Consider the following 15,333-nt stretch of genomic DNA (forward strand, 5'->3'; position numbering starts at 1 on the left):
AGAGCCTGAATAGCCAAGGAATTCCTAAGCAAAAAGAACAAAGCCAGAGGCATCACATTACCCAACTTCAAAGTATACTAAAAAGCTACAGTAACCAAACTATCATGATACTGGTACAAAAACAGATACATAGACCGATGGAACAGAATAGAGAGTCCAGAAACAATGCTGTACACCTACAACTATCTGGTCTTTGATAAAATTGATGATAACAATCAATGGGGAAAGGATTCCCTATTCAATAAATGGTGCTGTGATAATTGGCTAGCCATATGCAGAAGATTGAAACTGGATGCCTTTCTTATACCCTCTATAAAAATCAACTCAAGATGGATTAAAGACTTACATGAAAAACCTAAAATTATAAAAGCTTTGGAAGATAACCAAGGAAATACCATTCTGGACATAGGCCCTGGCAAAGATTTCATGATGAAGACTCCAATAGCAATTGCAACAAAAATAAAAATCAACAATGGAACGTAATTAAACTAAAGAACTTCTGCACAGCAAAATAAACTATCAATAGAGTAAACAGCCTACATAATGGGAGAAAATATTTGCAAATCATGCATCTGACAAAGGTCTAATATTCAGAATCTATAGGAATTTAAATAATTTAACAACTAAAAATAAAGAAACCCACTAAAAATGGGCAAAAGACACAAATAGACTTCTCAAAAGAAATACACATGGCTAACAAGCATATGAAAAAATGCTCAACATTGCTAATTATCAGAGAAATGAAAATGTAAGCCACAATGAGATACCCTCTGAGTCAGAATAGCTATTATTAAAAAGTCAAAAAATAACATGCTGGAGAGGTTGCGGGGAAAAGAGGACACTTACACATTGCTGGTGGGAATGTAAACTAGTTCAACCACTCTGGAAAGCAGTTTGGCAGTTTCTCAAATAACTCAAAGCAGAATTAACATTTGACCCAGCAACCCCATTATTAAATATAAGGAATATAAATCATTCTATTACAAAGACACATGCATGCATATGTTCATTGTAGCACTATTGACAATAGCAAAAACATGGAAAAAACCTAGATACCCATCAATGGTAGACTCAAGAAATACATATACACTATAGAATACTTAGCCATAAAGAACAAGATTATGTCCCTTGCAGGAAAACTGATGGAGCTGGAGGCCATTATCCTAAGCAAACTAACAACACAGGAACTGATTTAAAAAAAAAAAAATTACTGCACGTTCTCATGTATAAGTGGGAACTAAACTTTGAGTACATAGGGACACAAAGAAGGGAACAATAGACACCAGGGCCTACATGAAGGTGGAGGGTGTGAGGAGGGTAAGTATCAAAAAACTACCTATCATGTACCAGCCATACTTATTACCTCGGTAATAAAATAATCTTTACGCCAATGACACCCTACGACACCCTGCAACATGCACTTTACCTATATAACAAACCTGCACATGTGCCCCTGAAAATAAAAAAAAAATTTCATAATTAAAAAAATAAAGCTTCATAGATAATTCTAATGTGCAACCAACTTAGAACCACTGATTTAGAATGAAAACAGCAAAAGCCTAAGAAGAAACTTTGGAGAATTCCAATATTTAAAGATCAGATAGATACTGTTGACGAATTAAAGGAGATACGAAAATGTAGCAAAAGAGGATGAAAGAAAATTAAGACTTTGTTTTAAGTTATAAAAAGAATAAAACGCCTCAAGAAGGAAGGAGGGCAATAATAATAATAGTACTATTAAGACCTAAAACACATTTAATATGTGCTTTATTATATGTATTTTACTTACATTAACTTATATAATGCTTGAGTAACCTTTTAAGCAGGTATTTTTATCTCCATTTTAAAAAATAGTTGGTTAAACTGAAACATGAGCAGATTGAGTAACTTGCCAAAGATCATGAAGCATGAATGACAGAGCTGGAATTTAAATCCAGAAGATCTAGCTTTGGAGCACTGACACTTGCTCATATGTATTAGGAATTTAAAAAACAAAAAGATTATCCATTGTTTATAGAAAAATGAATGCTGAGAATATTTTCAAAAACATTAGTTTCAGTGATAGGAAAGAGAAAGCCAAGGAAGTGCGGACAAGCTAAGGGAAAATGAGGAGGATGAAGGTATACAAGACCATATTCTGAGAGAGAGTAAGTGTGTTTATGAGAATGAAGGATTAGAGTTGAGTAAAATTGCAAAGGTATGAAATAACCACTGCAAATATTGGAGAGTGAGTTTAGTTGAGAAAAGTGATAGTATTGCTCAGCATTATTGAGTGTGCATTTGAGGTGTTTTATCATGAATTCTGAGTCTTATCAGTTAGGCAATGGGAGTTATCTTCATGGAATAGCACAGCTATTCTGCTAAAGGATCAGGAAAGATGTCTTTGCCTTGATCCGGAGCTGGGATTTTGCCAGAATTGTGTTTTGGAAAGACTAGAGTACTTTTGCAAAAACTCAGGTAATGATGTGAGTTGTATCATCAAAAACCTAGGAAAATTAGAAGTTGCAGATTTTTTTGCAAAAATTGAGGTAATGATGTGAGTTATATCATCAAAAACCTATAAAAATTAGAAGTAGCAGATTTCTATCATGTCTTTAAAATCTCCCTCCCACATAGTCCTCGCTGAATTTTCAATACTTCTTAACCATAGTTTTATCATTCATGAGAATCTCTAAGAATCTGTACTGTTAATTTTTTTACATGCTACATTTTACCAAGAATTAAGAAAGAAATCTTAAAAATAATTTTAATTTTGATAACTAGAGACAACAGATACTATAGTTTTAATATTTAAACTTCTCAGAATTAATCTAAAGTAACTTTTACAACATATCATAAAAAATTTCTCACTAAATTTTAAAATCTTATTTTAGTATCCAAGAAAACTTGCAGGTATCAAATTAACTACCAAAACTTCCATATCATTTCATTTCTGAAATGTATTAAGAATAAGAGAACACAAGTATTACACAGATAAAAGGAACATATATTGGTATACTTCCTAATTAATACTATCTTAAATAAAACTAGAAGAAAAATAAGACAAAATAATTCATTCGACAGTTTAATTTGTCTAAGGTGGATTATTTGTTTTTTTAAAAACCCCTTGACATTTTCTTCAATATCAATAATTTGATAATAAATATGAAAAAATCTCCTAGTTTTATTGATTTTTTTCACTAGACAGAAATGGAGCATAGAATGTAATTATAAATGTTAAAATGTTTCTTAATTCCTACTTAAGTCTTTTCATCATTTAAGCTATACTTTCAATATTCTATTTATGGGAATTTGTATAACTTACAACCAGAAAATGATTTATTCTTTTGCTTTCTCCATAGGCTCTTGCAGGAAGTTAGCAATACAGATGTAGAACATTGATTATACAACGCATAGGGGAAAGGAGAGGAGAAACAAAAAGAAAGAAAAGAGGAGGGGATGGGAAAGGAGAAGAAGAAAAGGGAGAGAAGGGGAAGTGGAAAAGACAGCATAGTAATGCTTAAGAGATATTCTAATAGGAAGGTTATAGTGAAAGATACGACTTTTTAAAATGACTTTCCTCTTCAAAAACTGGCCAAGCTAATGATCTCTTTTCTCTTCTGCCTCCTCCATGCCCATGAATTAAAATGTCATGACCATTACCAAGAAGCCCATCCAGCTGTAAAACTGGATGGAACTGCATGAATACAAATATGACCAGATTACAAATATTATCCTAAAAAAAGAAGTTTATTAAATGTCCAAAATTGGAGTAGTCATTGGGTTCATAGTTCTGAGTATAGGATAATGACTCTTACGTTAATTAAGTAACTGAACATTTTTATGGGATAGAGTTGCTCTTCCCATTCTCAAACCTCATGGATTTTATATGAGCTGGCAAAGATAACTCAAACTAAAATATAGTGCTGATCTTTAATATGGAGATTATGTGTATGTCTGACAATCTGACACAAAACAAACAATTGCAAATACTTTTGATAAAGAACTGTACCATTCGTGACTTCACATAGATATTGTTACGTCTTAAACATCCATTTCCATAGTCTGGAGAAAAGATGAAAGAAAAAATTTCTTACTGGTTTACATGGGATCATTACTTCCATTGATTCCATATTTACATTTAAAATAAATTTAAATTGTGATTCTTGATTTATTTGTATGTGATACATCCTTTACTTGAGGTGATAGGAGGTAATAAATCTTCCAAGGTTAGCTTCATCTTACTTTCAAGTTTTTTGAGAGTGTTTTAAAATGCTGCTTCACTTGAAAAACCATTTGCTAAATGTCTAACATAGGTATACCAAGGAAAATACTAGACACTAGATAAAATAGTTTAATGGGAGAGAAAAATAAATATTCTAATATTTAAGCATAATGATTCCTGAGATAGGATAAGCCCTGGATGTTATGAGGACACATATGAGTACACTTAATCTAGCTGTCAGGATTATGGAAAGCTTCCGGGAGAAATCTGAAGAACTGAAAGCACTCTAACAAGGCTGGAGCATGGGTTTTCAGTTGGGAGTTGGGGTTTTCAGGTGGGGATCAAGGTGTTGAGGTATCAAGTTTGAAAGTTAGGTGGGGCTGGTCTAGGAATGGTTTGTTTGTAACAGTAAGGAGTTTGGAATTCTTCCTGAATACCATTGGAGCCACTGAAAGATTTTTGGCAGGGAAAAGTACTGTCAAAATTTGAATTTTAGATAGATTTATACATCAGTTCTTTAGACTATATTTTGAAGACCTGAGATTGGAAGGTGGTCAATCATGGAATTATGCAGCTTTGGCATATCAAGATACAAAAATAAAAATCCCCAAAACCAACCAAACCAACCAACAAAACAAAAATAAACAACCCAAAACCCCACAAAACAGTAGAATCAATATAACTCAGTGACCAATTGAAGGTAGAGGGTAAAGGATGTGGAGCCAAGGATCGTACTTGGGTTGATGGTTTGGACAACTGACAGGGGTACCAGTAACCAAATGTGTAATGCATGCATGAGGAGCAGTGCATTTGGCGGAAGGCTTTTGAAAGCTGTATATTTGTTATTTTGACTCTCTTTTTTTTTTTTGAGACAGAGTCTTGCTCTATCACCCAGGCTGGAGTTCAGTGGCAAGATCTCGGCTCACTGCAACCTCCATCTCCCAGGTTCAAGTGATTCTTCTGCCTCAGCCTCCCGAGTAGCTGGGACTACAGACGTGCACCACCATGCCAGGCTAATTTTTGTATTTTTAGTAGAGACGGGGTTTCACCATATTGGCCAGGCTGGTCTTGAATTCCTGACCTCGTGATCCGCCCGCCTCAGCCTCCCAAAGTGCTGGGATTAGAGGTGTGAGCCACTGTGCCTGGCCTATTTTGACTGTTTCTTATCTGTTCTAAGTATAGTTAATTTAAGTGGAATGCAATGCCTTGACTGGACATGTGGTCTTTGCAAGCTACTCTAACAAAGACTATGATGATGCTTTGGGTCTTCAGGTATTAATGTGAACTCAGGCCCTGAGCTCAATGGTCCTTATAATGTCTGAGTCTGTTCTCCTCTTTCTCCAGTGTACAAGCACTTGAGTAAGTGGGTATATGCTCATTTTAAAAAGAATTAGGCAAATCATGATGGCAGATTCTTGCCACAGTGTTGCAGAGTCCTTCTCACTTAGGACATGACAGTATCTTTGGGCCTGTGGATTGAGCAAAAAAAAAATGTGACTTTTTATTGTAGTAACTCCCATAAACCTCCTGTTTTCTCTCCCAATATTATCATGTTATTGCTGTCAATGTTAATAGATACCCTTGTTGGCTGCCTCTAGGCATACCATAGTTTATTAACCATCTTCACAAGTTCCACTGGCTGCCACTCCAATTTTGCAGGTCAACATGTTAATTGAATTGAAGACTACTGACTTCTGACTGTTGAGGTTCTGTTACTCCAGGATCAGGTTATTCATCTGTATATTAATGAGCCATCTAAATGACCACTTCCCCTGCCATCAACACTGGCCTGCAAAGGAGATCCATCAGTGAATTTCTTAGTAAACCTGGTGATCATCTCACCTGTGTATTCTTAGAGGTGTCAGTTAAAAATGTGTGTTCTGGCCCCTCTGATAGGAATAACCTTTGGGTGGGACCATGAACCTCACATAATACATAAATTTATTCATTCTCACTTTCTGCAGCTTTCTATTCCTACCTTTACCATCGGTCAAAGCAACTCAGACATTTCCATATTGTTAATTAAAGGCCATATCATATTTCTGGTATCTAACAGTCATACCAACAATGACTTTGCCCCACTCACTAAGAAATAATTGCCTGTCCTGAGAAAGTACCCCCTAAGTCAATAATTTCTTGCTTAGCCTATCTTATATTTAGTTTTCTGAATGAAGAATTCTCACAACACATTCCCACAGTACTTCTCTATTCCCCGCTAGTAAATGCCAGATAATTATTGTAACTCTTTCAATCTATAGACTCTCTGTTTTCTTGCTAGGTCTGGACTTCTCAAGTAGGTTATGTTGAGATATTTACCTAGCCTGAATATCCAGGAACAGTGGTGAGGATCGTTCCTGAGGGGGAAGAGACCTATTGAGTTACATAAATAATAGTTCTGCAGCATCTACTATCTTGGAAAATGTGCTAATTCTTACTGGGGAATGATAGGCCACTTCTGTCATCCTAGAAGTTTTAATGAGAATAGCAGAGCCAACATCCTCATTAATCCAAATTTCTTCATGTCATGCTTTAGGGTTCCAGACTTTTCATCATGCAGAACTTACCTTTGTGAAGGAGAGAAGAAAACACAGAAAGAAGACACTGGAAAAGCAGTACAGTTCTAAGATAGTTTTGTCAAGGTTCAAGCGGAGTCCTCAAACCAAAGTGAGACATCAAAAGGGTCACACATCTCTCAAGAAAATACCTGCCTAAATATTCATGCCATCCACAATAATTTCTCAGTAATCGCTATTGAAATCATGACCTCACACAAACATGATGATATATTTAATAGTACAGCATCTGGGGCAACATCTGGGGCAGTGGAGCATCTGTGTCATGGTAAGTTTGACTGAAACGAAGTTTTGCAGCAGCAAAAACAGTATCAACAATCTAAATTTAATTCCATATGTGTGGATCTCAGTAAACCAGGCTGTATTAGAAGCTTTCTCTAGCTATAGAGAGTTACCTGCTCTGTCAAGCAAGACTAAGGCAGGAGTTAAGGCATAAACACACTAACATTTTCAAAACCTGCTTGTTTCACTCAAAAAAGACTCAACTTATAAGGCAAGGGTGCTCAAATATGAGGTTTCTTGCTTTTTCATTTATTTGAGTTAAATTTGATTTACAGAACCAGAATAAAAAACAGGTAATCACATTTATTAGAATGTGGCATTTACATCCACAATGATTCTAATTTTGAAGCTCAGTTTTTACATTTTTCTATAGATACTATATTGGTAGATGTTATTGATGAACTCTCTGTTGCATCTGAAGGTCATCTTAACACCACACTAACAGTTGTGGAATAAAGTGTCCTTGAGTTTGACACTGAATTAAATATTGTATTCTTCAAAACACATTTCTCGCTATGAGAAATCATATGGATTTTTAAATTTTGCTCCAGGTAGGTTTTTTTTAAAGGCTTATTTCAATATCTTCATGGATATATTGAAGTAAATTTATACTTTTAATAATAATTAACAGCAAAAGAGCAACAATTCCTGAATTTAACATTTCTACTCTTTATCTTCCTCTAGTTATATTTCTGACTCAAGTAATGAAAAAAAATTTTTACACTGATTATCTCAGACTCTTAGGAAGTGCTGTGAACTATCCAACCTCCTTAATAAGTACACTGAAAAAAAGTTCCTGCCATTTTCTCTACCTCCTAACTTAACACAACTTCCCAGCAAACTTAGTAATAAGGATAGCTGGTAGAAGTTTGACATGTACAGGATAACTTTCGAGGTGGCAGAAAGTGTTAAAAATCATTTACCATCAGTGTCTCAGCTCTTGGCTATCATGCCTCTCTCCCTCTCTACCTAACCCTCAAATCTAATCCAAGCCATGCTTTGTTGCATTGACTTTCTTGGCCATATCAAGAAAAGTATGTATACATGTATACCCATGGTCTTAAATTCAAGATAAGTAAAATTCTGCTTTTAGAATTTCTTCATGATGGTGTAATGGGGACTATAATTACCCTCTCAGTATAACAACCAGAACACCAGAAGAAATATGTGAAACAACTATTTTCTTTCATTGGAAAAAAAGTAGCTCATGACTGAACCCTGAAAGAAGGAAAACAATTGATATGAATCCTATAATAACTCCAGTTTATTGTCTGGAGACTGTTTCTAGGTTTTAACGTAGCAAGGGTAACATAAGCATTGCCTGGTGGTCTTAAGTTGAAGAGACAGATATTGCAATGCAGAATGGCTAAGAAACTTAGAATCTATGAGGCATGGTGTCTCCTAGAGACATCTCTGAAAATCTGAAGATGATTCTCTTCAAATCTTTGGCTGAAGATTGATCTATGCATGTGTGGAGTAAAACTCCAAAAAGCTGTTAAAGGGCCACAAGAAAGCAGCAGACCAAAGGATTCCCAGAAATCACAAGCCCTAAAAAGAATTTACATTCTCATTCCTAGAAATGAAAGATCTCCGAATATATGGAAGAGCAGAAAGAGTCCTCAAGGAGTTCTAGCCTGAGTAGTGGCTGCATTCAAACTAAAGGCTCCTCTTGTTGTAGTTTAATACATTCAAAAATGATACTCAAAATAATCAAGTTGATAGTGTGACTTCACTGTGCAGCAGGATAAAAGTAAACATTTTTCAAAAAAAGACAATAAAATCCAGCATGCAACATGGAAACTTTATAATGCTCAGCATTTAAGAAAATATCCAGGCATTTTATAAAACAGAAAATATAACACATAAGTCCAAGAAAAATTAATCAATAGAAAAATACCTAGAAAAGACAGAGAAAATGGAATAATCACAAGGAGTTTAAATAGCCATTATAAAATGCTTCATATAATTAAAAATGTAGAATAAAACATAAATCATAAAAAGTGAGATACAAAAGATACAAAAAATACCAATACATTTGGTTTATTAAAAAAGCCCAGATTTTGCAAAAATTTTAACCCTGGTGTACACGTCAAACAAAACATTAAATTAGGTGTGCAGAAAGAACCGAACAAAAGAAAAGAAATGCCTTGGGGGGAGGGGGGAGGGAGAGCATTAGGAGATATATCTAATGCTAAATGACGAGTTAATGGGTGCAGCACACCAGCATGGCACATGTATACATATGTAACTAACCTGCACATTGTGCACATGTACCCTAAAACTTAAAGTATAATAATAATAAAAATAAAAATAAATAAATAAATAAAAAGAAATGCCTCATAGACAGAATATAAATTCTGTGGAAATCAGGATACTCAAACCAGAAAGATACTTGTACTTACACAAGAAAGGACTTGCCAGAAAAGACAAAAAATCTTTATTATCCCAGGAGTGATATAAGGTCCCTTATTAAGGCAGCCTTATCTAAATCAGATGCTGAATAAAGATCTTCTACCAAAAAGAGGGAGGCTCATTCTGAAAGAAGACTCACGATGGCAAAAAAAGAGAAGGTGTGGAAATAGAGAGCTCAAAAGTCTCAAGTGAGTATAGCACACTGGTTCCAAGAATCATGAGTTCCTTCTGAAAGTGATCTTGCTCCAGATCTGACTTCTGACACCATTTATATCAATAAATAACAAACACAGAGAGAGGCTGTCTAACAGAAAATAATAGGCCATTGCAATGGGAATACACATACCGTAGTAAACTGTGTGCAGAAGTAAAGGAAGACAAAGATTTCTAAGGAAAAAATGAGAACAATTACATACTTATTTTGTGATAATTATCCTTGGCTACAAGCATCAATAACAAGGGTGACACCAGTCTGAGTTTGGACAGGTAGTTGCTGGGCAGATGTCCTTATAGAAGTATTTCCTGTGTAAGCTCATAATGGCCTTTGTGCAAGGTTGTGGTTTTGCAGAGTTAGTTGTTTTTTTTTTTTTTTCCAGGCATTTATGCATGAGAACCTGCTTCATGGCCTTTTTGGACTTTACATGTCAGGGTGTTTTACAAAATTACTCTTGTTATTCTGACTACTTTCACAGCAACAAGAAAAACTGATGGACTCATGAACCTAATTCTACCTCAGGTCCCATGAGGAATAAAGAACTCCGTCTCTGATGTAGGAATTCCTATTCTTATGCCAGTATTTATGAAACTGTGGCAGGCTTCCTGGTGTTAAGAATAAAAGAATAGGCCAGGAGTGGTGGTTCATGCCTGTAATCCAGCACATTGGTAGGCTGAGGTGGGCCGATCACTTGAGGCCAGGAGTTTACCAGCCTGGCCAACATCGTGAAACCCCATCTTTACTAAAAATACAAAAATTAGCCAGCTGTGGTGGTGCACACCTGTGATCCCAGCTACTCCAGAGGCTGAGGCACAAGAATCGCTTGAACCCAGGAGATGGATGTTGTAGTGAGCCAAGATGGTACCACTGCAGTCCAGCCACAGCAACACAGCAAGACTCCATCTCAAAATGAACAAACAAACAAAACAAAAACAAACAAGAATAAAAGCATAGTATCACTACAGATTGTATAGACATCAAAGTATTACAAAAGGGTATTGTTAAAAAATTTGGGCAACAGGCTCAACAATTCACATAAAATAGAACAATTTATTGAAAGACAGAGACTACAAAACTTATTCAAATAAAACTAGATATATTAAATAATCTTATATCCACTGAAGAAACTGAATTTTTAAGTAATGCCATCTCACAATAAAAAACTTTCAGGCCTAGATGGTTTCACTAGTGAATTAATCTAATTTTAAACACATAATAATAATAATACGATTTCTACAGAAACTCTTCTGGAAAGTGTAAGAAATCAAAAGACTTTCCTACTCATATTATGAGGCCAACACCAAAACTGAAACCCCACAAAGACGTTAACAGGAAAACAAAATAAAATGCAACAGACAATTTTCCCTCATAATCAGAATTGTAATTATGTTTAACAAAGTTTTACCAAATCAAATGCACTAATATGTAAAACTAGTAAGACTTCATGGCTAGGTTTCTTTCATCCCAGAATGAAAAGTTGCTTAAACATTTGAAAAATAAATACACGCCATTTTAGATGACAAACGAAAAAAAAAAAAATCACATGACATTATGATCAGATGCAAAAAACTAATGCGATAAAATTCAGCATTCCTTCATGATAAAAATTCTCGGATACTTAAGCATGGATACTAACTTATCCTTATAAAGGGATATATGAAAAATTTAGAGTGGGACAATCTACTTGAATGTGAAAGGGTGCCTGTTTCCCCACTGAAATTGGAAGCAAGATAAATATATTTTATCTTGTCACTTTTATTCAACCAATGATCTGGTGGCCTCAGTAAGTGCAATAATGCAAGAGAAAAGGGTAGAAATGTTTTGTTCTAGTTATACGTCTAATCAGCTTTCTTAAATTTAACCATTCCTTCAATACATATAGTGCTATCCATGCCCCATTATGTCCATTTTTAATGGCTTACAAATCTGTAGTTGAGTAGTGATTTATGAAATGTTTCAGAGAGGATAGGTTAGATTATGCTGCAGCAATAACCAAGCTCCAAATTTCATTTACTTCAAAGGACAAGGCTTAATTCTAACTCATCTTATATGTCTATTATGAGTCATTGTTGAAGTCCCTGATGATTATATTTGCTCCAGAAACCAAACTGATGGAGTAGCTTACATTTCAACTGTCATCCATACTTATGCCAGAAGAATAGAAGGCCTCTGGAGTAAGCATTGGAATTACATTCTATTTGTGATTTGTATATGCCTACAAGTAACATAGAGAACTCTTATTCCCAACTCTTGGTTTATAACTAGTCACAACTCCCCACTCAAACAACAGAAGCCAAGAAGGCAATCCTTGAAGGTGGAGTACCTGAAAAATGTATTAAATACTTGATATGGTTTGGCTCTGTGTCCTCAGCCAAATCTCATCTCGAACTGTAATCCCCACTTGTCAAGGGAGGAACTTGGTGAAAAACGATTGGATTATGGGGCAGTTTCCCCTGTGCTTTTCTCTTGACAGTGAGTGAGTTCTCACAAGGATTGATGGTTTTAAATTGTGGTACTTCCTCGCTCTCTCACTCCTCCTGCCACTTTGTGAAGAGGTGCCTTGATTCCTCATCACCTTCCATTATGATTATAAGTTTGTTGAGGCCTCCCCAGCCACTTGGAACTGTGAGTCAATTAAACTACTTTCCTTTATAAATTACCCAGTCTCAGGTAGTATCTTTATAGCAGTGTGAAAAAAGACTAATACAATACTCTAATGGTTACATTATTCAGCTCTTCCAGATAACTAGTTAATAAATTCAGATTGTTGTCTAAAACAATTGTATATATAAAAACATTAATTTTTAATAAATCTATAATCTCAATTGGCAAATACAGAGAGAACAAAGTGTTTTAGGTTACCCTTGTTATTTTAAAATATTCCTATTTATTCTAAATTTGTATATAATTCCTAATAATTACATTTAATTTTTAAAAAACGGCTTCATCTTCTGAAGGATATTTTAAATATTCCAAATAAACCTTTTTTAATCTCATGTATTTTCTAAGACAGAAAGCCATAAAGTAAGTTAATTAAATCAATAGTATTGATTTTTTTGTGTTGAAAAAAGTTAATATTCATACATATTCATATGTACTTAGTTTCCTCAATCATAACATTAGAGTAATTTTTGGTACATACTAAAATTTTGGAAATATATAGTCATTATTCTATCTGTAATAATAATTTTCTATTTATATCATGGAAATAAATATACATTAATCAAATTGTTGTTTATCAAATAATTCATGTATGTATATGTCAGATCTCGGATGCTGCTGTGCTAGTCAGCATCATTTATAACTAGCAAATGTAAGAAATAACAATCTTCAATGTTAATTTACTTTCAGCCAAGTTCATATGTGAAAAGGATTTGCCTAAGAAAAATACACTATGTCTACCGTGTCACATTCAATTTACTTTGTATTTTCATATTTACAACTCTGTGTACATATGTCATAAATTTTATTTTTTAGGATTAGAAGATTAATACCATTATCAGATGTTTTGTCTTAATTTCCAAACTCTGTATTTGCCCAAATGATGAAACTATATTTATCTCCCCACCCCCCAACTGTTAGGAATTAAAGAGAAACTAGTGAAGATAGGATAGGGGAAAAGGAACAGATGAAACAAGTAAAAGAATGAGCAAGTAAAGGGAGAATGTAAGATTGATTCCCCTTGTGTCCTCCTATCAATGATTTGAAAAAAAATCTGTTTATAAAATTAACATAAGCAAAACTTCACAAATTAACATTAAAAAATTAAGCTGGGTAATATGATTAGATTTTAATTTGCTTCTATGCAATATAAAACAATGTTTAAGCTTTCAATTATTTCTGACAGCATGCAAATGATTTCAGGTCATTAAAGATCGGAAAGATTATTTTTTCCCTGATAATTTATTAACTTATGGAAAAGATGGCATATACTTTTCAATTACTCATATGGTGTTGGCACATGCTATTTGTAGTATGTACTCTGAAATAAAATTAATCTTATATGTAAGAGAATTATAATAATATTTTGAAGATTATATAAAATATTGGATAGAAATAGTTCTTCAATCTCATATTACTTCTTTATTCACCTCCTTTCAGTAATGTATATAATTTTGCTTATTATTGTAACTTTAAACTCAGGTACTTATTATTTCTGAAAACAAGAGAACATGGTTATTTCTTGATGTTACTTTTTGTCCCACAAAACTATAAGGTTTACTCAAGTCATAAGGCAACAATAAATACAACAAACAAGTTGTTCAGAAATTATACATAAACCTCTGTGTAGCTGTATTGAAATCTGAGATGACTATTTTTTATTTTATTTAATTATTTTTAAAATTTGCTCATTTTCAGGGGCCAGTGAATGGGTTTATATTTCTCAATCTTGTATTTTAATATGGTTATAGTCATCTTTGATCCAAATTTTGTACATGATCTAATCATGTAAAGAGTTTATAACACCTACAGAGATTATCAAAGCATAGTCTCTCAATGTTCAAAGTGAACTCAGGCCTAGGTCTAAGAGATAGCCCTTTCTAGTTTTCATCTGGTGGTATCCGTACTTACTCTGTCTCATACCCCATTGTAAGCTATAAGATTACAGAATGTGTCAAATAAATTTCTCATTGTGAAGTTGAAGATTTACAAACATATAGTAAATTCCCTTTCCCTCCTTCTTTCTTCTCCTAATAGTTAATTTTTTTTTTAATTTTTCTTTGGTCAATTTTGTCATTACAATCATTATGAATGAATTTTTAAAATTGAGTATGCCCACCTGTGTGCACATGTGTGTGCTAGTGTGTCTGTATTTGTATAATGGAGTCTCAAAAACTGGAAGCAGTTTCAATGGTGTTTCACTTCCTCTGATGTTAGTAAGTGAGGTAATTCACTTGGGGTTGTAAAAATCGCAATGTCAAGCAACAAAATGCTTCATTAAATAGAAAGAGAAGCTCTGAAAAGAAAAAAAAAATCTTTCTTTGAATAGAGGAGTTAAATACATGTATGTAGTCCACCCTTGCTGTCTACAGTACGTGATGACACAGTAATCTCTTTTGTTGATTTTCCAGTGAAACTGAAGCAGCTTTTTCACACATGAGGGGTAAGAGAATGGACAGTGTCAAGAGGTGTCTTAGTATTTTCATTCTAGTAAGTTGTGAGCAGGCAATTAAAGATTTTTACTTTGGAGATAATCTTCACTCATAGCCTTTATCACCATGTTTCCCTGAAGAATGAGATTTTACCCTAAAAGAGGATAATAGAATATCACACGCTATGTTAGAAAACATTTAGAAAAAATAATCATTTCATGCTATTAAAAAATGATCAATACATTTTTATTTTTTGTTCAAAATTTTGGTAATGTATATTTCTAGGAAATATACATAAAATGTACTAGAACTAAAAATTAAATGTAATATTTTAGACTCTGAAAAAAATGTCTATTATAATGTCAAACCAGAATAATACCTGCTTCTCACTCACATTGACCAAGAATCAATGTTAGGTGACTTAACAGCAGAAGAAATGCAAATTATTGGGATATTCTTTCATTATGTAGTATAAACATAACTCATATGTGTTTCTCATCAGCTATGCCTTCATTTTTCTTGATGGAAAATCTATGGGAATATAGTAGCACCATC

This window comes from Homo sapiens, chromosome 5, assembly GCF_000001405.40.
Source record: "Homo sapiens chromosome 5, GRCh38.p14 Primary Assembly".
NCBI lineage: Eukaryota > Metazoa > Chordata > Mammalia > Primates > Hominidae > Homo > Homo sapiens.